The 23,651-nt window shown below is 44.4% G+C and overlaps 1 annotated feature.

Annotated features, from left to right (window-relative positions):
* Positions 8,087–8,728: an enhancer, noted in NCBI's record as "OCT4-NANOG-H3K27ac-H3K4me1 hESC enhancer chr11:3275868-3276509 (GRCh37/hg19 assembly coordinates)". NCBI's record gives its function as "activates a minimal SCP1, AML or CMV promoter by ChIP-STARR-seq in naive and primed H9 embryonic stem cells {active_cell/tissue: H9 hESC(naive and primed)}" and the evidence as "EXISTENCE:reporter gene assay evidence [ECO:0000049][PMID:30033119]".

A 23,651-nucleotide genomic window follows, 5' to 3' on the forward strand; every position in this document is an offset into this window, starting at 1 on the left:
AGGTCATAGGTGGATTCAAAGATTTTCTGATTGGCAACTGGTTAAAAGAGTTATTATCTAAAGACCTGGAATCAATAGACAGGGATGCCTGGGTTAAGATAAGGGGTAAAATACTTTGATTTCTATCAGGGTCTGCTATCTCATGTTGGTATCTTATGGCTACAGAATCTGTTTTGTGGGCCTTAAGGTCTCTGTTTTAATGTGAATGCTGGTCCAAACAATGGAATTTGGACAGCTGTGCCTGAATTCCAAAGGGAGGAAGGCATGAGGCATGTCTGACCATCCACTGTCATCATGGCCTCAACTTATGTTTCAGGTTTTCTTTAGAATGAATGGCTTTGGCTGAGAACAGGAGGTCTTAAGTTTTTATTTTGTTTTACACAGTGTATATTTTTTCAGCATTTTCATACTTAACAGTGGAAGTGCTAGTGGTGGTTTTAGATAAAGCTTAGGCTCATCGCTAGCTTGCTGTTTTCTTCCACACAGATTTTCCCGTCATGCCTTGCTGTTGACAAAGGCCAGGAGCCCAGAGGAGAGAGTGCTCCAGGACTCAGTGCTTGTCCTTCTACTCACATATACTTTGAAGTCTGGATGTTTGCCGTCTTCTAGTTACAGTGGGTGGGGTGGGCTCAGTAAGGTTTTATTTGTTCTCTATTCTTTATTTTTTGGAGGATTTGTTAAGAATTTCAGGTTTATGCTGCCTCCATGACCTCAGCTACCCCAAATTCTTTCTGATGTAATATTTATTATTTTCTTTTTCTGGGTGTCTTCCTTTGTTATTACTTTGTTATTCTTTTTTAGTTTTTTAGTTGAAAATGTGGTTCATTTGTTTTATTCTTTCATTTTTTTTGCTTTTTAAAAACTGATGTAAATATTAAAAGTGATAAGAGTTTGAGCTATGTTAAACACACTCCATACGTTCTCACATGAAGTGCTTTCATTACCATTACTTTTTAGAAATTCTGAAATTTTGGTTTGCATTTCCCCTTTCGCCCAAGAGTTGTTTAATAGAGTCTTAAATTTTCCATGGGAAGAACCCTGCTCTGTTTCCATTTATTACATTTATTATTAATTTCTAGCTCTATTGTCTCACAACTATGTATAAGGCTGTTTAGCTATAATTTTATAGGATCATCAGCAGAGTTTTGATGATATGCTGTTTTCACTTCATGTCTTGACTTTAAAATCTACCATACCCAGGCCGGGCGTCTGTAATCCCAGCACTTTGGGAGGCCGAGGCGGGCGGATCATGAGGTCAGGAGATTGAGACCATCCTGGTTAACACGGTGAAACCCTGTCTCCACTAAAAATACAAAAAATTAGCCAGGCGTGGTGGCGGGTGCCTGTAGTCCCAGCTACTCGGGAGGCTGAGGCAGGAGAATGGGGTGAACCCAGGAGGCAGAGCTTGCAGTGAGCCGAGATCGCACCACTGCACTCTGGCCTGGGTGAAAGAGCGAGACGCCGTCTCAAAAAAAAAAACAAAAAAAAAAACTACCTTACCCATGTAAGATGTGATTTCACTGGGTAATACAGCCTCACAGCACTCTACAGTTTCTAATGAGCTTTAGTTTATTTCCTGTTCATTATTTCAATGGTCCTAATAGCATTATCTTTCTCTTTGGATGACAAAACTCAGAAAGGGGAAGCAACTCACTCAAAGTCACACACGTTCGAGTGGCATGGCTACAGTTTGATCCAGGCTTGGCTCCCTCCAAGTTGGTGCTCATTCAACTTGGTAAGATTTGTGCCTGGAGCCCACGACATGCATCCTACTTGTTGGTGAAATACTAAATTTTATCCCCTTAAGATTGGGAACAAAACAAGAATGTCTCCTTTAGCCACTTCTACTTAGCGTGGTACCAGGGGTCCTAGCCAATGCAATAAGGCAAGAAAAATAAGTAAATGGCATACATATCAGAAAGGAAGAAGGAAAAGTGCATTTACTCACAGAGAATGTGATGGTCCATATACAAAATCTCAGAAAACTGCAAAAAAGCTATAAGACAAGGATAAATGTCAACATACAAAATCAATCATATTTATACTAGCAATGAACAGGTAGAAATTGAAATAAAAATATTATTTACAAACATACCAAAACCACGAAATACTTAAGGATAAATTTCACAAAATATGTACAACTTCTATCCATTGAAGACTGCAAAATATTGCTGAGGAAAATTAAAGATGAAATAAATATAGAGAGGTAGTATTTTATTTACAAGGCACTTTAAGTGAAAATTCCATCAGGCTGTTTTTCTGGCACAAGCTGTCAAACTGATTATAAATGCATATGGCAAAGCACATACAGTGAGTTGTGGAGCCCTGCTAACCACAGTGTAATCCAGCCTATCCTGCCTGATATGGCATTAATTGCTTATGATTGATGACAGCTGCTGTTTTGTAAGCACTGTTTGTAAACCAAGGACTTGTGTTTTTACAAAATTATGAAGAGATAGATATTCATTTCTCCACTTTACAGGTGAGGAAACAAGACCTATAGGGCTTCTATCAGCAGTCCCCAACCTTCTTGGCACCAGTGACTGGTTTCATGGAAGACAATTTTTCCACCAACAGGGTCAGTGGGGACATGGGGGATGGTTTCAGGATGAAACTGTTTCATCTCAGATTATCAGGCATTAGATTCTCATAAGGAGTATGCAGCATAGATCCCTCGCATGCATAGTTCACAAGAGGGTTTGCACTTCTCTGAGAATCTAATGCTCCCACTGATCTGACAGGAGGCAGATCTCAGGTGGTAATACTTGCCTCCTGCTGTGTGGCCCAGTTCCTAACAGGCCATGGACTGCTACTGGTCCACAGCCTGGCGGTTGAATACCCCTGGGTTATATAACTTGACATCTGAAGAGACCCGGCTACGAGACCTGGACCTGAGTCAGTTTAAGGCCTGAGGATGTTGCTGTTAAAACCATGACCACTTTAGAAAACCCCTGGCAGACACAGCCTAACTCCTGAGTATCCTCCAAAGCATTTATGTATCTTCCCTGAGTTCACAGAAGTGCTCAGCAAATGCTTACGACCACCTAACTGGTCAAGGCACAGTTTGGTTTTATACATTTAGGGAGACATGAGACATCAATCAATATATGTAAGAAGTACATTGGTTTGGTCTGGAAAAGTGGGACAACTTGAAGCAAAGGCAGGAAGACTCGAAGGGAGAGAGCTTCCAGGTCACAGATAGGTGATACACAAACAGTTACAGTCTTTTGAGTTTCTGATTAGCCTCTCCAAAGGAGGCAAATCAGATATGCAATTCAGTGAGCAGAGGAGTGACTTTGACTGGAATGGGAGGCAGGTTTGCCCTCAGCAGTTTCCAGCTTGAGTTTTCCTTAGTGATTTTAGGGGCCCAAGATATTTTCCTTTCACAGCTCCCAAACCACTCCTCTTGTATTAACACTTACTATGGTTGTCCCCAGTAACACCAATTTAGTTAAATACAAAATGCATTAAAAGTAGACTCTCTGAAGCAATAGAAAAGCCTCCAAAGGGGTATAGAAAATCTGATGGAGAATCACTGAAATTAAACAATATCAGGTCCTAGGAGGTGTCCTGGCCTGTGTGTGAGAAAACGTGGTACAGTTGTAGCCCTTGTTCTGACTATTCCACTAGATAAATTTGAGCAAGTCAGCTACAGTCTCCTGATTTGTAGGATGGAGGGGCTGGACAAGCTGGCTGTGCCACCCCCACTTACTGAATGCACTAACCATGGCTCAAAGAGATTAAGTGACCAAGTCCACTCACTGGCTGAGTTGAACGAGGACAGGAGCCCAGGAAGATCTCTTTTTGCCTATTACTTTATCTACTGCACCTACATCTGTTAGAAATGCAAAATGCTTGTTCTTCAGTGCTGCAAAGAAATAGCACTTGAACATAAATTTAATTCTGTCAGCAAGGCCATTTTTACTTTCTGCAGAAAGGGTGCCCATCACAAATGGAACAATGGTGAGAGCACACCTGAACAAAGGAAAACAGACATATTTATCCCTTACGCATTTGGGTCCTCCTTACTGCTATGTCTTGCATCCATTGGCTGGAGCTGGACCTCACAGTCTTAAACTGACACCTGATTTACTGATAACCTAAAACTTTCCTAAATAGGTAAGTGCAAGGGAGAACAAAGAAGGAGAGGAAGTTGCTTATGAAAAGTTTAAGGAAGCAATAACATTTCCAAATAAGGAAGGGGCATAAGCTATGAGCTAAGTCTTGCCTGGGCTTGTCCAGACATGCCTGAATAAGCCAAAGCGACTAACTGGGCTAAAGTGTAAGAACTAACAGTTGATAGGAGGCTTTAGAGTAAGGAACTATTATTCCTAGTGTCTATTATTTTATTTTTAAACCAAGATGAACTTTGAAGAGGAACTTATTCTACTTTCTACAACATCTCTCTGAGATTCCAAGTCCAGTTGCCAGAGCTCTGAGATTCTAAGCCCAGCCTCTTCAATGCTACAAGCTTTACATATGACCTTTCCCCAAAACCCCTGACCCACTTCAAGATTGGTAAGTCACTCCATAGTCTTTCTAGAAGGTCTGGTGGCTGGATAGCCTCTCATTTCCTTGACTGGCATTACTCAGCCCCAGAGAGCTCAGAACGATCCTGGGCAGGACAATTGCTGGTGTTTAGTAGACTCTGAGTTTGCACTTCTCAGCAGATGGTTTTTCATGTCCACGTGTTAAATATAGTGAACCCCAAGTTTCTTTTCAAAGAATCAGTATGGCAGTATGTTTAGCTCTCTTATTCTTTGATTCTCCACTTTAAAGTTTATCTTCCTGGTTCTCCTTGCCCTCTTGCCTCTAGTTTCAGTTAACAACCTTTTCCACCACTTTTAATCAGTAGTTCACATCTGTTCCCCTGGTCACCTGCTCTGTTCTGACTCATCCCCGTCACCTGCTCTGACCTAAGTCACCTTTAGTTACCTGTTCCTAACCGTCCTTCCTGCCAAACTACTCACCCCGCTACTCTGGCTCGTACTCCTGCTCTTTTTAAAATAGCCAGTTGGAATTAGCTCAGACTACGCAGTCCAACCCTAACCAATAGGGGAACGACACAGCAGTAGGGGCTACCTGTGTCAGGAATAAGAACTCCTTCCCCTCTCCTGTCCAAGTGTGCTCTCGTCATTGTTCCATCTGTGAGGAGCACCCTTTCTGCAGAAAGTAAAAATTGCCTTGCTGATAAAATTAAATTTATGTTCTAGTGCTATTTCTTTGTGATATCGAGGAACAAGCATTTTGCATTTCTAACACATATCTGGACATCCCATGTCAAAGTCGAGTTTAGGCAATAAATAAGTTTGTGTAAAGTCAGACCCAGCACTCCAAAGTGTAGTTACTCCCATTCTTGTGCCCAGCAAGAATTTCCATGAGGGTTCTGCCTGTAGGATATAATAAATTCCTCTTCAAAGGTTTTAGCCTGTAAATTGTTAAGTACAACGAGTTCTGAGATCCTCTCCAAAGAACCAGTGCATCAGTGTGTTCAGCTTCCCTGTTCTTTGTTCTTCATTTTAAAATTTAACTTCCTCATTCTCTTTGTCTCCTTGCCCCTAGTTTCAGTAAACAACCCCCTCCTATCCTCTATCACGTGCTCTGACCTTAGTCGCCCCTGGTCACCTGCTTCATCCTGAGTCACCCCTGGTCACCTGCTCTGACCTGAGTCATCCTGAGTCACCTGTTCTGTAACTGTCCTTCCTGCCCAATTACTCACCCCACCACTCTGACTCGTGCCCCGCTCTCTTTAAAATAGCCAATCGGAATTAGCTTAGACAGTGTAGTCCAACCCTAGCCAATAGGGGAATGACACAGCAGTAGGGGCTGCCTGCATCATGGATAAGAACACCTTCCCCTCCCTTGTTCAGGTGTGCTCTTGCCATTGCTCCATCCGCGAGTCACACCTTTCCATAGAAGTAAAATTGCCTTGCTGAGAAAATTAAATTTATGTTTGAGTGCTATTTCTTTTTTGGCACCGAAAATTTATTTCTAACATGCACATCTGAAAATGAAAAAAGCCCTAAAACCTTAACTGCTTACCTTTCCTTCAACTTTCTGCCATTTTTCATACCCACAAGAAGCATAAGAGGTCCTTTTTCTTCCTCCCTGTGAGAATGTCAGCAAATGGTTAACACAGATTGCTGGTTTAGCAGTAGCCACAGGGAGGGAAAATGTGAGCTATTAATGTTACTTTTTTCTACAGGCAGTGTGAGCATTTGAAGCTAATAAACTCTCATCTGCGGGGTCACACACCTCAATATATGTACATATTGCTAATGAGTGTTTGTAAAATAGGCAATAATGGCTCAAAATAAACTATCTCAGAATGGCTAATAAGTAATAAGCCTCTTGCCTTTAAAATTAATAATAAAAAAGAGGCATATTGTGTGTAGCCTACCCTGGGTGAAAAGGGGGTGCAACAGAAAATGTGTCCAAGACTCAGCTCTTGTCCTCCCTTTTATTTCTGGCATAGCAGGAAGGCACGGCCCTATAAAGCACTGGCAAAAGCAAAATCTGCAAACACAACACCAGAGAAATTCAGAATTTTAGATCTGGAAAGAACTTCTGCATCCCTTGAACCCCAGCTTGCCTAGTCCTTAGCTCGCAGTGACTTGCCCAAGATCACTCAACGCAAAGCAGCAAATGCCCACGGGAATCTTCCAGTCTGAGGAAGTTAAGGTTTGGGGGTTTGCCATAGATGTCACTGGCCTGGAGTTCGGGAGTCCTGCATTTGTCCCTAGCTCTGCTGCTGTGTGACCTTGGATACAACCTTAAACCTCATGGGGCATCATGTTCCTCTGCAAATAGAAGTAGTGGCACCTCTTCACAGTGTTGCCATGGGGATTACATGAGATCACATAGGTAATAGAATTTTGTAAATATAAAATTACATTAAATGAGACCCATCAAGCGATAAGCTGAGTGAGAAATGCTATATTTTTAAAAGTGATATAGTTACAATGATTATAAAATCTCAGAAAGCCAGTTGTGATCCAAATTAATAAACATCTCCATCTTTGCAGCAGAAATAATTGCCTCTGGAGTCATAATAATAACAGATATTTATTTACACCTTTCCTGGTTACCAAATGCCTTGAATACAGCTGCCTGTGTTGACTCTCATTGAGGAAAGCAATGGAGACCCAAGGCTAAGGGCAGCCAGCAACACCCCAAGGTCGCCGAGTTAAAGAATGGCAGGGCTGGACTTCCCACGCTCAGTGAGGACAAAGCCATTTTGCCTCTGGAAAGAAACTGCCTGGTCTGGGCAGCCCAATATCCCAAAGAGGTTGCCTATTATTGACAAAGACTCTTCAGGACCCAGGACCACTGCTGGGCTGGTTTGAAACATCACACGGAGAGTCTCCAAGGGTGGGACTGAGCACCCAGACGATAGAGCAGCCATATCTCTGGGAGGCATGGCACTCCCACAGTCTCTGGAGTGGGAGACCCTGCTCAGGGCACCAGGAGGTGAGACTCCACACAGCCGTGTGGTGTCCCTGAACTTAGATCCTCCTTCTAGCTGTCAACACTTCTTATATACCAGTGCAACGGCATAAACCCCTGAGTCCTTTCCAGTCCCCAATCCCAAATTCCAACAGGACCTGCAACTGAGGCCCAGCGGTGTTGACTCAGGATGATAGCCAAGCTAGGGAAGAGGTTAGAGCCCCCGGCGAGGAGTCCAGGCCATTTTCCACTGCTGCACTTACCACCCGGCTGAGACCCCGCCAGGAGCCCAGAAGTGAGCGCCAGCCACAGCTGCTCTCCAGTGGCTTCTGCCCCTCTGCACGGCCCCTTCTTTATAAATGACAGCTATTTCCACATCCTGTGCAGGAAGGTGACAACCGAGATGGCCTAATTTTACCTGATTACATAGAAATTCAGTGTTCTGGGGAAGCACCTACATTTTCCTGTGATTATCCCTCTGTTCCATCATGATGAGATGACTGTGAACTTGGACATCTCGTCTTAATTTTCTCATGTGTAACTTGGTGAAAAAGTCACATACTTTCTCTTATAATATCCTAAAACAGATGGGTAATATAGCCCAGGACTGAGTTAGATTCATTAATTCGGCTAAGTTGAAATAACCTGGCATTGTGACTGCATAATATGGTCTCAGCCCAGTGATAAAAAAATGGACTTGAAGAGATTCTTCCCCAAGTGTTTCATTTTAATTTCATGTTGATCAAGTTAGTAATTCCGGTCAAAGTGGGAAGAAGCAAAAAAAAAATACATTTCCTCAGTTCATGGTCAATAATTTTGTCCCCATGTGGACATTAGTGCTCTCTGGCTTCTCACCAGGGGGCTGGAAGGCTTCCATCTGATAATGGGCTGTAACGGATGGATGGTGGATTTGCACAGCGTGTAGACGGTAATGGATGGATGGCGGATTTGCACAGCGTGTGGTCCCCAGGGGAGACAGCAGTCTTGTGACTAAGAGGATGGGAGCCTCACAGGGCAGCACAGCTCTCTCAGCTCCTGGAGCGTTTCCGCCTGAAAATAGGCAGCGACTGTGGTTTATAAACGCCCAGAAGGCAGCGTTTCAGCCATCTCCTCTGTTATTGTGTGAGGAACCAGGCAGAGATTTGTAATGACACGAGGACGGGAAGCGAGTCGATGGGTCAGGCCTCCTCCCGGGTGCAGAGCACAAGTGTGGGGCCCTTCTTCCCATAAAAGTGGGGAGGTGCCTGCATCGGCCTGAATTTATCATTCTGTTCATTTCCCAGAAGCATTCATTAACATTAAGCCCTGAGATCGACAGTTAATAATCACTCTAAATAATTCAGATATAATAAATTACAAGCTGTGACTGTGACCTTAGGTAAATATTAAAACAAACAGCAACAATAACAACCACCACCCAAGGACTGTGCTGTTGCTAGTGAGCCTAGGAAACTGTTTGTCTTTCTCAGGAGAGTCCATTTATCTGAGGGATAGAATTCAAATGAACTTCAAAAGCATCCAGAGCGTTTGTAAAAGCACGATTGAGCCGGGAGCAGTGGCTCACGCCTGTCATCCCAGCACTTTGTGAGGCCGAGGCAGGCGGATCACGCGGTCAGGAGATCGAGACCACCTTGGCTAACACGGTGAAACCCCGTCTCTACTACAAATACAAAAAATTAGCCGGGCGTAGTGGCGGGCGCCTGTAGTCCCAGCTACTTGGGAGTCTGAGGCAGGAGAATGGCGTGAACCCGGGAGGCGGAGCTTGCAGTGAGCCGAGATCGCGCCACTGCACTCCAGTCTGGGCGACAGAGCGAGACTCCATCTCAAAAAAAAAAAAAAAAAAGCACGATTGAAAACCAGCGGCTATAATCCCTACAACGGTGTTAACATTTACGTTGGCTGGGGGCCCTGCTTCTTCAGGGCCGTGAGGCCATGCTGACAGCAAGGAAGGCAAACTCGGGAAGCCAGTCCCCCCAGAGTGGAGCCTCCACCCACAACACTCCTCAACAGCGGCCTGGGAGGATCCGCACGCCCCTCTGGTGAGTCAGCACGCAGCTCTGCCTCTTTCGAGGCCAAGCCCTGCACGTTCTAGCCTCACTGGGATTAAATCTGTATTCACATTTTCGTTTTTTATATTATCTGTTTTCCACTCCTCTCTCCTCTAAAACTTAAAATCCTATCTCAACTGAAATTAGTGCTTTTTTGGTACAAAACGTTTATCCTCATTCTCCTTCGGTCCATTTTCAAGGATCATATTAATGCAACAATCAGATAAGAAAGGCCCTTGTAACGCCAAAGCCATTTCAAAGGAGGAAAGAAAACCCTGACCCATTTGGGGTAGGACTAAGAACCAAGTCATTCCTTTTTAAGATGTTTAGTTGTGAATAACAGCTGCCCTCCAAGCTTCCTGGCAGGAAGTTGAACAAGAGGAAGAGGGACCAGTTGGCTTAAGACCGACCCCCTGCAGGGGCCACTAGGCAGCTGCTCCCGGTCCGCACCGCTGCAGAGTGCAGCAGTGGCCCCGTCTGCATCCTGGACCCAGGCCCTCGTGCATAGGCATCGTGCTGGGGAGGAGGAGGCTGCCTCTGGGTTTCCGGCGCTGCTGGCAAGGTCAGGCCCAGTCCCTAGAGTCTGCTGGGCTGGCAGGATGGCGGTGGTGGGGGGCACAGTGCGGCCCCCCTCCATGCTGAGGTGTCCTGAACATATCAAGGAGTGCAGGTGCCGCGCTAGCCACGGGGGCTCAGAGCCCAGGTCCCAGTCTGGCCCCTCTCCCGGAGCTGGGCGTGGCTGTGGGGCTCTTTGCTGCTACAGACCATAGCCACGCTCGCTGCGAGGGTGCCAGGTGCCACACACCTACGTTTGCTTTGCCAGCATTTTCCTTCCTTTTGCTTTTCCCATCCCTTTCTTTCTGAGATTAGGAAGGAAAAGGAAGGGAAGGAAACCTAATCGGGTGACTCGAGGAACTAGATCTTATTCAGTCATTCCAGGACCATCAAGGCAGGAATTATTATTGCACCGACACATTGCTTATAAGGACAGAACTAAGGCTCAGAGAGATTGAGGAAAGGGCACAAAGCTGCCCAACAGGCCAGTGAAGGAGCTGGGCTTTGGGCTGAAGGCTCAGTCTCTCTGATATCCACGTGGATTCATTCACGGGTACCTCGGTCCCCAGAGCGCGGCCTGCAGAGCTGCCTGTTCTTCCCTCCCGGGCCAGCTGGTGCAGGACACTAGGGGATTTTCCAGGCACACAGGCTAAGCACATGTGACATTCGTAGTCTTCATTTGAATGCTACCCTCCCTCTGGGACCCATCGTATTCTGGCATTCCAGGCATGGTGCTAAGGTCCAGGGTGTGCTATGGACATAGCTGAGTGCACACACCTGCACTCTGTCTACCTGCATCCCACCTGAGTCCCACCTTTATCATCCTGCCTGAGTCCCACCTGCATCCCACCTGCATCCTACCTGCATCCCGCCTACATCCTACCTGCATCCTACCTGCATCCCACCTACATCCTACCTGCATCCCACCTATAGCCTACCTGCATCCCACCTATATCCTACCTGCATCCCACCTATAGCCTACCTGCATCCCACCTATATCCTACCTGCATCCCACCTATATCCTACCTGCATCCCACCTATATCCTACCTGCATCCCACCTACATCCTACCTGCATCCTACCTGAGTCCCACCTGCATCCCACCTGCATCCTATCTGCATCCTACCTGCATCCCACCTACATCCTACCTGCATCCTACCTGCATCCTACCTGAGTCCCACCTGAGTCCCACCTGCATCCCATCTGAGTCCTAACTGAGTCCCACCTGAGTCCCACCTGCATCCCACCTGCATCCTACCTGAGTCCTACTTGCATCCTACCTGTGGCTCTGTGCTGGGCTGTAGGACGCCATCTTGGCATAGCAGTGCATGGCTCTGGGTAGAGCATGAGGGATGCCCACCTCTGGTTCTCTCCTAGGATGCACACCGACCTCACCAGTCACATGGACCTTGCCAATCACACCAGTCACGCCAACTCCCTACAGACACCTCTGCCTGGCTTGCATCTCGTAAGAGCTAAATCAAGAGCAAGATCTCAACGGTGCCTAAAGACTGGCAGTGCCCACTCAAGAGAAACCTCTGTGAGTCCCAACCCACACTGTGCAGTCCTGGGTGACAGTGCCGAGGAGCTGTGGCCCTTGTCTTGTGTGTGGGGCTCTGAGGAGCCGTGGCTTTCATGGTAGCATCGGTGTGATGCCCATCAATGCCTTGAGATGTTGTCCCCTCCTGTGCCAGGCAAGGTGGTGCCCATTAGGAACCAGATACCCTGTGTCCAGCTCGTGGGAGTGTGGGTGGCTGAGGCCCACAGGGAGCCTCTGTGCAGTGCCTGGGGTGGCCCTGCAGGGGAGCCCTGCCCAGGTACCACTGGGTCTGGGGGCACAAGCCCCACACCTTTGCCTCAGTGGGGTTGCTCTGAAGTGCCTGCTCAGTCCTGAGCCCCCATGGGAGCTGTCAGGACCACTTGCAGGTACTGTCTTCCTCCCCAGGAGGGGTTCCCCAGAGCCTGCCCCATAGCCTCTTCCTCAGAGTCTTTTTCCAGGAAACCCAAGCATAACAGTTCCAATCAAACCTCATTTATGTGGTCAACCTCTCAGCCCTTCCTGTCCCTTCCACAGCCAGAAAAAGGAGAGGGTGATGGAGAGGCGGGGAGAGTGAGCTGCAGAATGGAGACCCTTCTCACCTGCAGGGGGAATGACAACCTCAGCTCACCAGCTGCCCCCTAAGCTCGGACGATGAGAAACATGGGCTAGGCACAGGTACATGGCTGCAGGCCACACTCACGGCCCAGATAGGCAAAAGTGTATAAGGCAATAAGGGAATTAATTATTTCTTATTAGCTAATGATCATATATTTACCTTTATCTATCATCGATCTATTATCTGTCTATAGCTATTAGCTTTCCAAATCTCTCTTCTATAATATTATTTCTATTTATTATCTACCCATATTTATTATCTTTATATCTATCATCCATATAATCCATTGTCTATTTATCCATCATCTACCTGTCTATAACTATTTATTTTATCTATTATCTATGTATTCTCTATCTATATCTATTATCTATCATCTACCAATCCATTATCTATCATCTTGCTACTATTTACACATAATACATACATACACAACACTTTTGCATTTGTGTAATAGCTCTATTTGTTACAAAAAATAGGACTACACAAAATATAGTATGGGTTTTGGATTTGATTACAATTAAGGTCATGAGAACCCACTAAGAATTCTTGGCAAAATCTTTACAAGCATAATATGTCACTTGATGATTTTGGAAACTATATGATTGAGGTGATATATGCTGTGGATTTAATATTAGAAATTTAAGTTGAACACGTGGTGCTGCTGCCTTAAGTGGCAGAGATAAGATTCAAACCCAGGTCTTCTGGCTCCAAGTGTCATTCTCCTTCCCCCACACAACTGCACTCTTTTTTCTTTTTCTTGTTTTTCTTTTTTTGAGACAGTATCTCACTCTGTCACCCAGGCTGGAGTGCGTGATGCGATCTCGGCTGACTGCAGCCTCTGCCTCCTGGGTTCAAGCAATTCTCCTGCCTCAGCCTCCCAAGTAACTGGGACTACAGGTGTGCACCACCATGCCTGGCTAACTTTTTTGTATTTTTTTAGTAGAGAGGGTGTTTTGCTATGTTGGCCAGGCTGGTCTCGAACTCGTGAGCTCAGGCAGTCTGCTCACCTCAGCCTCCCAAAATGCTGGAATTACAGGCATGAGCCACTGTGCCCGGACTGCACTCAAAATAGATTTGGATTTAATTAACTGGAAATGCCCAATTTGGTGGTGTACAGAATCGAGGAGCTGCCTCACCAGGGGCAGCCTCCATCCAGTTACCACTTGATGCAGGTTGTAGGGGCACAAAACTAGCCTTGCCTCAGTGGGGCAGCTCTGAAGGGTTTCCCGGCCCCCCAGCCACCCCTGGAGGTTGTTACCCAAAGTGTTGCCCGAGGACCAGCAGCAAGGGTGGCATCTGTGAGCTCATCTGAAACGCAAACCTCAGGCCTCACTCCAGACCCACTGAATCAGGATCTGCATCTTAACAAGACATGGTTCAGGCCAAAAATAGTTTCAGATCTACTTTCCATTCCTGAAAGAGTGCCCAAAAATAGACAAAGTAAAGTATAATAATAACAACAGTACCAGGGTTTTTTGGCATCATTTTTGAAGAATATTGTTTAGTGCAAAAAATAAAAATATAAAAGTAAGGCACAAAAAGCAAATTACAAAGTTTGGCTTAATTTAAATGAAAATTATTTGACTCTTACCTACGTGCTCGTCGTTCTGACCTGCCATAATCTTTGCTTGGTTGGAATGGTGTCCTTGCAGTAGGAGAGACTGCAGAAGTAAATTATTAGCTTTTTAAGTTCTGTGGAACAAGAAAGGGAAGCTTAAATATGATGAATACCTGTTGCCATCGTGCCTGAAGTATCGATGAAGTCTAATCTTGCTTTGGGTTTTGACTCAAAGCAACTGGAATATTCAACTGCTTTATAAGCTAGTGAAAGTGGGCTGCGTAGATGCGATTACAGGTTAAGGTTGTAAGAACAATCAGGACCTCAGAAGAGATTCCTTTTCCCAGTTACTCAGAATCTACATAGATGAAGTTTTAAAAAGCCTGTTAAATGTAGATATTCGCTTGGCTGTGGGAGAGGAGGGTAATTGGCTTGCAATTTGTTTTATCATGACATTTCCACTCTGGCCTTCCATTCCCCAGAAACTGAACTCAGTGACGCTCTTGGAAGAAGTGACCTCATCATGACAAAATCCAATCCCTTATGCACCACCAGCTCAACCATAAACCCAGGAGTCATCCCTAATTCGCTTTTTTCCTTGCCCTTTGTGCCACAAAGCCATTTTGTCTCCACCTCTAAACTTCTCTCCAGCCCCCTTTTCCCTTCTGATGCACGGGCACCCATTTCTCCCTAGACTGCCTTCTTCAGTGTTCCTAAACAGCAGATACCTAGTTCACAGGCCTGCTTACACAATGGTCTCCTAATGTTATTCTTCACACAAATGTGTTTTTAAAGTCTGTGAGAGAGGCCGGGCACAGAGGTTCACGCCTATAATCCCAGCTCTATGGGAGGCCAAGGCAGGTGGATCCCCTGAGGTCAGGAGTTCAAGACTAGCTGGGCCAACATGCCGAAATCCCGTCTCTACTAAAAATACAAAACTTAGCTGGGCGTGGTGGCAGGCACCTCTCATCCCAGCTACTTGGGAGGCTAAGGCAGGAGAATTGCTTGAGCCCTGGAGATACAGGTTGCCGTGAGCCAAGATCGCACGATTGCACTCCAGCCTGGGTGATAAGAGTGAAACTCCATCTCAAAAATAAATAAATAAATAAATAAATAAATAAAGTCTATGAGAGAAATTTGATTAGCCACTCTTTCACAAAGTATGAAGAAGAAACTGTGAGACAAACTAAATAAGAAAATGATGCTATTAAGAAATACTATTGGAATGATTGACCAATTCCTTGTCTGTGTCAGGTTTTGTGTATAAGGCATGTCTCTCCCTTTAAGGAGTCTGCAATCGTGTTACTGGGGAAATGACTTACTAGAATGCAAGCAAAACAGATTATAATATAAGATACTCAAAACCGGGTGTCAGTTATGTAAAAAATAACCTATATGTGGTGGTCCATTTTTAATTTTAAGTGTCTTAGTATAGGTTTAAGCAGGCTATGTGGAAATAAAGAGATAAAGAAGCAGAATGTACTGAGCCACCCCTGCCCCCATCCTGCTTTCTCCTTTCACTTGGCAGCCAGGTGCCTATCGGTCAGGGCCCCCTTAAATACCCCCTCCCCACCCCACCGAAGAATTTAGTTTAGGCTAGCTTGCAACATAGATAATTTTATCCTTTCTTATCAGCAAAGCACAGCCATCTAGGGCCATACGTCAAATGTTCGAAGAGTCCTGAGACAGTCACAATGCATTATGGGATGCAATAAAATGCAGCAGAAAGACCCTAATGAACATACTCGAAAACTTAATCCAACTACCAATATTCGACGTCCAGGAAGATTGTAACCTCGTAGTACTCAGCCAATGAGGAACTGGGGGAGGGACTTGTGCACTAGGGAGTAAATTTCTTGTTGAAGCCCTTCTGGGTGTGCCTCATGCCAGACACCCAATCTTGCAAGACTGCCATTAAAGTCTCGCTTCTTCTGTTCTCTGTGTCCCTGAGTCCATTCTTTGGGTTTGGATGGATAAGGATGTTTCTTACAAGTTAGAAAGAAATTTCTCAATAAGACTCTGAGAGCTTCCTGCTATAGTGCTGGAATTGACATGAGGGTGATTTTGTTTTTTTATTTTAATTTATCTTAAATTAATTAATTTCTTTCTACAAGGGTGATTTTGAAGTCTCCTCACTGCCGATGGTTTTGTGGAAACTGCACAGCGAGGAGGGTAGAGATCTTACTCCTGAAGAGCTGGGAGTCCGGGCTTTGAGGCAGATTCTGTGTTTCTTCAGTGTGTATGTCCTGAGGAATTAGCCACCCATCTGCCACAGGGCCCTGGGGGAGAACGCTACCATGTCTGAAAATGCCAAGGTGGCTGTCCCGTGGAGTTAGCTGTTGTTATCGTCTGTGCTTCGTGATAGCAGGAAGCTTTTTCCCCACTGTGCCCTGCAGCCTCTCCACCTCCTTCCCTTCTCCATTAGTCATGTGAAGACAGAGGGAGCAGGAGGGAAGTTGCCCCAGAGTCCAAGGCAAAGTGCATCAAACAGCCCCGGGTAGTCGTGTTCAGTTTAACTCTGCAGTTATTCCTGAAGTCTTAAGAACTGAATCCTGATACTGCTTTTCCCGTCTTCTTCAGATTCACTCCTGCCCCAGTTCTCTTTGTTGCTGAGAAAATGTCTTCCTCTGCTCTGTAGGATAATATAATACGTTTCTGAGAAAAGGAGCCGTGTCCTTCAGGAGAGGGGTAAATTACAAACGTTACAAGAGATTCGTACATGTTTCATCTCCCCTTTCTTATGGTCACTCAGTAAAATGAGATAACAGTCATGAAAGTTCTGTTATGTGCTCTGCCTAAACCACTGGCCAATTCAGCCCCAACCAGCCCAACTTAAGCTATTGAAGTGGGAAGATTTGGGAGACTGTTTCAATATCCTTATTTGAGTCAGCCTGTTTTTCTGTGGGCCAGAATAGGACATCACAACATGAGATTCAGCTTCTAGACAGGCAGGACGTGTCCTCCATGGATCCCAGCTCCCACAGCCAGGTCCTGTTCCCACTGTGGCTTGGGAGGACATCCCAGAAGCAGAGCCCACGTAGGCCTCCAGCACCCAGCAAACTGCAGGACAAGCTTGGTTGCAGAGTGAGTCAGGCCTTCTTAAACCCCTGCTCTTCCTGACTTGGGCTTCAGGAGACAGGACATGGTTTTGGAAGAGCCATGAAGAGCCACAGTACTGCTGAGTGGAAACAGCCTTCTTCTCTGGCTTAAGGGGAAACCAAGAAGCTTTTTGCTCTGGCTGGCTGGGAGGGCAGGGGGTTGCTGATGCCTGGACACTTCACGGAGGGACACACCCTGGGGGCCTCAGCCCCACTGAAGAGCCGCCTCCATAGACCGTGGCTGTAGACTGGGTCCTGGAGCCACTGGGTCCTGGAGCCACCAGCTCCTGTCCACATGGGGTCTGCAAAGGGAAGCTCCAAGCCCAAGCTGATGGAGAGGCAGAGCCTCAGTCCATCTCAGGGTTTCCAGACCTTTGTGATGAAGCAAAGCTTTTCCCAAACATGATTTCACCCCAAACCCCAAAGTGTACAAGCAGATAAGCACAGAAAGCTATTGTAAAAGTCAGAAAAGGAGGAGGGCTGTGAGAGGGGCTGACGGTCCCCTCCAAATTCTGCCATTGCAGCCTCGACCCTCAGGCCCTCAGAACATGACTGCATCTGAAGAGGCGATTCAAGGTAGAGGACACTATCAGGGGGCCCTCTGTGCCTGTCTCTGCCCTAATTTCCTCTTTTTAAAATTATTATTATTATACTTTAAGTTCTGGGCTACATGTGGAGAATGTGCAAGTTTGTTACATGGGTATACATGCGCCATGGTAGTTTGCTGCACCCATCAACCCATCATCTACATTAGGTATTTCTCCTAATGCTATCCCTCCCCTAGCCCCCCACCCCCTGACAGGGCCCAGCATGTGATGTTTCCCTCCCTGTGTCCATGTGTTCTCATTGTTCGACTCCCACTTATGAGTGAGAACATGTGTTTAGTCTTCTGTTCCTGTGTTAGTTTGCTGAGAGTGATGGTTTCCAGCTTCATCCATGTCCCTGCAAAGGACATGAACTCATCCTTTTTTATGGCTGCATAGTATTCCATGGTGTAGATGTGCCACATTTTCTTTATCCAGTCTATCATTGATGGGTATTTTGGTTGGTCCCAAGTCTTTGCTATTGTGAATAGTGCTACAATAAACATATGTGTGTATGTGTCTTTATAGTACAGTGATTTATAATTCTTTGGGTATATACCCAGTAATGGGATTGCTGGATCAAATGGTGTTTCTGATTCTAGATCCTTGAGGAATAAGCACACTGTCTTCCACAATGGTTAAACTAATTTGCACTCCTACCAACAGTGTAAAAGCATTCCTCTATCTCCACATCCTCTCCAGCATCTGTCGTTTCCTGACTTTTTAATGATCGCCATTCTAACTGGCGTGAGATGGTACCTCATTGTGGCTTTGATTTGCACTGCTCTAATGACCTGTGATGATGAGCTTTTTTTTCATGTTTGTTGGCTGCATAAATGTGTTCTTTTCTTTTTTTTTTTTATTTTTTTTATTTAGACAGAGTCCTGCTCTGTCGCCCAGGCTGGAGTGCAGTGGTGGGATCTGAGCTCAATTCAACCTCCACCTCCTGGGTTCAAGAGATTCTCCTGCCTCAGCCTCCCGAGTAGCTGGGACTACAGGCATGTGCCACCACATCCAGCTAATTTTTTATATTAATACTAGAGATGGGGTTTCACCATGTTAGCCAGGATGGTCTTGATCTCCTGACCTCATGATCTGCCCACCTTGGCCTCGGCCTCCCAAAGTGCTGGGATTATAGGCGTGAGCCACTGCTCCTGGCCATAAATGTCTTCTTTTGAGAAATTTCTGCTCATATCCTTCAAACACTTTTCGATGGGGTTGTTTTTTTCTTGTAAATTTGTTTAAATTCCTTGTAGATTCTGGATATTAGCCCTTTGTCAGATGGAGAGATTACAAAAACTTTCTCCCATTCTGTAGGTTGCCTGCTTACTCTGATGGTAGTTTCTTTTGCTGTGCAGAAGCTCTTTAGTTTAATTAGATGACATTTCTCAATTTTGGCTTTTGTTGCCATTGCTTTTGGTGTTTTGGTGTTTTAGTCATGAAGCCTTTGCCCGTGCCTATGTCCTGAATGGTATTGCCTAGGTTTTCTTCTACGGTTTTTATGGTTTTAGGTCTTACATTTAAGTCTTTAATCCATCTTGAGTTAATTTTGGTATAAGGTGTAAGGAAGGGATCCAGTTTCAGTTTTCTGCATATGGCTAGCCAGTTTTCCCAACACCATTTATTAAATAGGAAATCCTTTCCCCATTGCTTGTTTTTGTCAGGTTTGTCAAAGATCAGATGGTTGTAGATGTGTGGTGTTATTTCTGAGGCCTCTGTTCTGTTCCATTGGTCTATATATCAATTTTGGTTCCAGTACCATGCTGTTTTGGTTACTGTAGCCTTGTAGTATAGTTTGAAGTCAGGTTGCGTGATGCCTCCAGCTTTGTTCTTTTTGCTTAGGATTGTCTTGGCTATACGGGCTCTTTTTTGATTCCATATTAAATTTAATGGGATTGCTGGGTCAATCCCATTAATTATGGGATTAATTAGATATGAGATTTAATTAGTTTTTTCTAATTCTGTGAAGGAAGTCAATGGTATGGGGATAGCAGTGAATCTATAAATTACTTTGTGTAGTATGGCCATTTTCAAGATATTGATTCTTCCTATCCATGAGCATGGAATGTTCTTCCATTTGTTTGTGTCCTCTCTTATTTCCTTGAACAGTGGTTTGTAGTTCTTGAAGAGGTCCTTCACATCCCTTATAAGTTGTATTCCTAGGTATTTTATTCTCTTCATAGCAATTGTGAATGGGAGTTCACTGATGATTTGGCTCTCTGTTTTTCTATTATTGGTGTATAGGAATGCTTGTGATTTTTGCACATTGATTTTGTATCCTGTGATTTTGCTGAAGTTGCTTATCAGCTTAAGGAGATTTTGGGCTGAGATGATGGGGTTTTCTAAATATACAACCATGTTATCTGCAAACAGAGACAATTTGACTTCCTCTCTTTCTATTTGAATACGCTTTATTTCTTTCTCTTGCCTGATTGCCCTGGCCAGAACTTCCAATACTATGTTGAATAGGAGTGGTGAGAGAGGGCATCCTTGTCTTGTGCCAGTTTTCAAAGGGAATGCTTCCAGCTTTTTCCCATTCAGTGTGATATTGGCTGTGGGTTTGTCATAAATAGCTCTCATTATTTTGAGATATTCCATCAATACCTAGTTTATTGAGAATTTTTAGCATGAAGGGGTGTTGAATTTTATCAAAGGCCTTTTCTGCATCTATTGAAATAATTATGCATTTTTTTCCATTGGTTCTGTTTATGTGATGGATTATGTTTATTGATTTGCATATGTTGAACCAGCCTTGCATCCCAGGGATGAAGCCGACTTGATCGTGGTGGATGAACTTTTTGATGTGCTGCTGGATTTGGTTTACCAGTATTTTATTGAGGATTTTTGCATCGATGTTCATCAGGGATATTGGCCTAAAATTTTCTCTTTTTTTGTTGTGTCTCTGCCAGGCTTTGTTACCAGGATGATGCTGGCCTCATAAAATGAGTTAGGGACAAGTTCCTCTTTTTCTATTGTTTGGAATGGTTTCAGAGGGAATGGTACCAGCTCCTCTTTGTGCCTCTGGTAGAATTTGGCTGTGAATCCATCTGGTCCTGGGCTTTTGTTGGTTGGTAGGCTATTAATTACTGCCTCAATTTCAGAACTTGTTATTGGTCTATTCAGGGATTCGACTTCTTCCTGGTTTAGTCTTGGGAGGGTGTTTGTGTCCAGGAATTCATCCATTTCTTCTAGATTTTCTAGTTTATCTGCATAGAGGTTTTTATAGTATTCTCTGATGGTAGTTTGTATTTCTGTGGGATCAGTGGTGATATCCTCTTTATCATTTTTTATTGTGTCTATTTGATTCTTCTCTCTTTTCCTCTTTATTAGTCTGGCTAGCAGTCTATTTTGTTAATCTTTTCAAAAAACTGGCTCCTGGATTCATTGATTTTTTGAAAGGTTTTTCGTGTCTCTATCTCCTTCAGTTCTTCTCTGATCTTAGTTATTTCTTGTCTTCTGCTAGCTTTTGAATTTGTTTGCTCTTGCTTCTCTAGTTCTTTTAATTGTGATGTTAGGATGTCGATTTTAGATCTTTCCCCCTTTCTGCTGTGGGCATTTAGTGCTATAAATTTCCCTCTAAGAACTGCTTTAGCTGTGTCCCAGAGATTCTGGTATGTTGTGTCTTTGTTCTCATTGGTTTCAAATAACTTATTTATTTCTGCCTTAATTTCGTTATTTACCCAGTAGTCATTCGGGAGCAGGTTGTTCAGTTTCCATGTAATTGTGTGGTTTTGAGTGAGTTTCTTAATCCCAAGTTCTAATTTCATTGCACTGTGGTCTGAAAGACTGTTATGATTTCCGTTCTTTTGCATGTGCTGAGGAGTGTTTTACTTCCAATTATGTGGTCAATTTTAGAATAAGTGCAATGTGGTTCTGAGAAGAATGTATACTCTGTTGATTTGGGGTGGAGAGTTCTGTAGATGTCCATTAGGTCTGCTTGGTCCAGAGCTGAGTTCAAGTCCTGAATATCCTTGTTAATTTTCTGTCTTGTTGAACTGTCTAATATTGACAGTGGAGTGTTAAAATCTCCCACTACTATTGTGTAGGAGTCCAAGTCTCTTTGTAGGTCTCTAAGAACTTGCTTTATGAATCTGGGTGCTCCTGTATTGGGTGCATATATATTTAGTATAGTTAGCTCTTCTTGTTGCATTGATCCATTTACCATTATGTAATGCCCTTCTTTGTCTTTTTTGATCTTTGTTGGTTTAAAGTCTGTTTTATCAGAGACTAGGATTGCAACCCCTGCTTTTTTTTGCTTTCTATTTGCTTGGTAAATATTCCTTCATTCCTTTATTTTGAGCCTACGTGTGTCTTTGCATATGAGATCAGTCTCCTGAATACAGCACACTGATGGGTCTTGACTCTGTCCAATTTGCCAGGCTGTGTCTTTCAACTGGGGCATTGAGACCATTTACATTTAAGGTTAATATTATTTTGTGTGAATTTCTTCCTATCGTGATGATGCTAGCTGGTTATTTTGCCCGTTAGTTGATGCAGTTTCTTCATAGTGTTGATGGTCTTTACAATTTGGTATGTTTTTGCAGTGGCTGGTACTAGTTTTTTCTTTCCATATTTAGTGCTTCCTTCAGGAGCTCTTGTAAGGCAGGCCTGGTGGTGACAAAATCTCTCAGCATTTGCTTGTCTGTAAAGGATTTTATTTCTCCTTCGCTTATGAAGCTTAGTTTGGCTGGATATGAAATTCTGGGTTGAAAATTGTTTTCTTTAAGAATGTTGAATATTGGCCCCCACTCTCTTCTGGCTTGTAGGGTTTCTGCCGAGAGATCTGCTGTTAGTCTGATGGGCTTCCCTTTGTGGGTAACCCAGCCTTTCTCTCTGGCTGCTCTTAACATTTTTCCTTTATTTCAAGCTTGGTGAATCTGACAATTATGTGTCTTGGAGTTGTTCTTCTCAAGGAGTATCTGTGGTGTTCTCTGTATTTCCTGAATTTGAATGTTGGCCTATCTTGCTAGGGTGGGGAAGTTCTCCTGGATAATATCCTGAAGTGTGTTTTCCAACTTGGTTCCATTCTTCCCATCAGTTTCAGGTACACTAGTCAAACATAGGTTTGGTCTTTTCACATAGTCCCATATTTCTTGGAGCTTTGTTCATTCCTTTTCATTCTTTTTTCTCTAATCCTGTCTTCATGCTTTATTTCATTAAGTTGATCTTCAATCTCTGATATCCTTTCTTCTGCTTGATCTATTCAGCTATTGATACTTGTGTATGCTTCACAAAGTTCTCATGCTGTGTTTTTCAGCTCCATCAGGTCATTTATGTTCTTCTCTACACTGGTTATTCTAGTTAGCAATTCTTCTAACCTTTTATCAAGGTTCTTAGCTTCCTTGCATTGGATTAAAACATGCTCCTTTAGCTTGGAGGAATTTGTTATTACCCATCTTCTGAAGCCTACTTCTGTCAATTCGTCAAACTCATTCTCTGTCCAGTTTTGTTCCCTTGCTGGTGAGGAGTTGTGATCCTTTGGAGAAGAAGCATTCTGGTTTTTGGACTTTTCAGCATTTTCGCACTGGTTTTTTTCTCATCTTCATGGATTTATCTACCTTTGGTCTTTAATGTTGGTAACATTTGGATGGGGTTTTTGTGTGCACATCGTTTTTGCTGGTGTTGATGCTATTCCTTTCTGTTTGTTAGTTTTCCTTCTAACAGTCAGGCCCCTCTGCTGCAAGTCTGCTGGAGTTTGCTGGGGGTCCACTCCAGACTCTGTTTGCCTGGGTATCACCAGTGGAGGCTGCAGAACAGCAAAGATTGCTGCCTGCTCCTTCCTCTGGAAGCTTCATCCCAGAGGGGAACCCACCAGACGCCAGCTGGAGCTCTCCTTTATGAGGTGTCTGTTGACACCTGCTGGAAGGTGTCTTCCAGTCAGGAGGCACAGGGGTCAGGGACCCACTGGAGGAGGCAGTCTGTCTGTTAGCAGAGCTCGAGCACTGTGCTGGGAGATCCGCTGCTCTCTTCAGAGCCGGCAGGCAGGAACATTTAAGTCTGCTGAGGCTGTGCCCACAGCTGCCCCTTCCCCCAGGTGCTCTGTCCCAAGGAGATGGGAGTTTTATCTATAAGCCCCTGACTAGGGCTGCTGCCTTTTTTTTCAGAAATGCCCTGCCCAGAGAGGAGGAATCTAGAGAGACAGTCTGGCTACAGAGGCTTTGCTGAGCTGCAGTGGGCTCCACCCAGTTTGAAATTCCCCTGGGCTTT

The sequence above is a fragment of the Homo sapiens genome, chromosome 11, assembly GCF_000001405.40.
Source record: "Homo sapiens chromosome 11, GRCh38.p14 Primary Assembly".
Taxonomy (NCBI): Eukaryota; Metazoa; Chordata; class Mammalia; order Primates; family Hominidae; genus Homo; species Homo sapiens.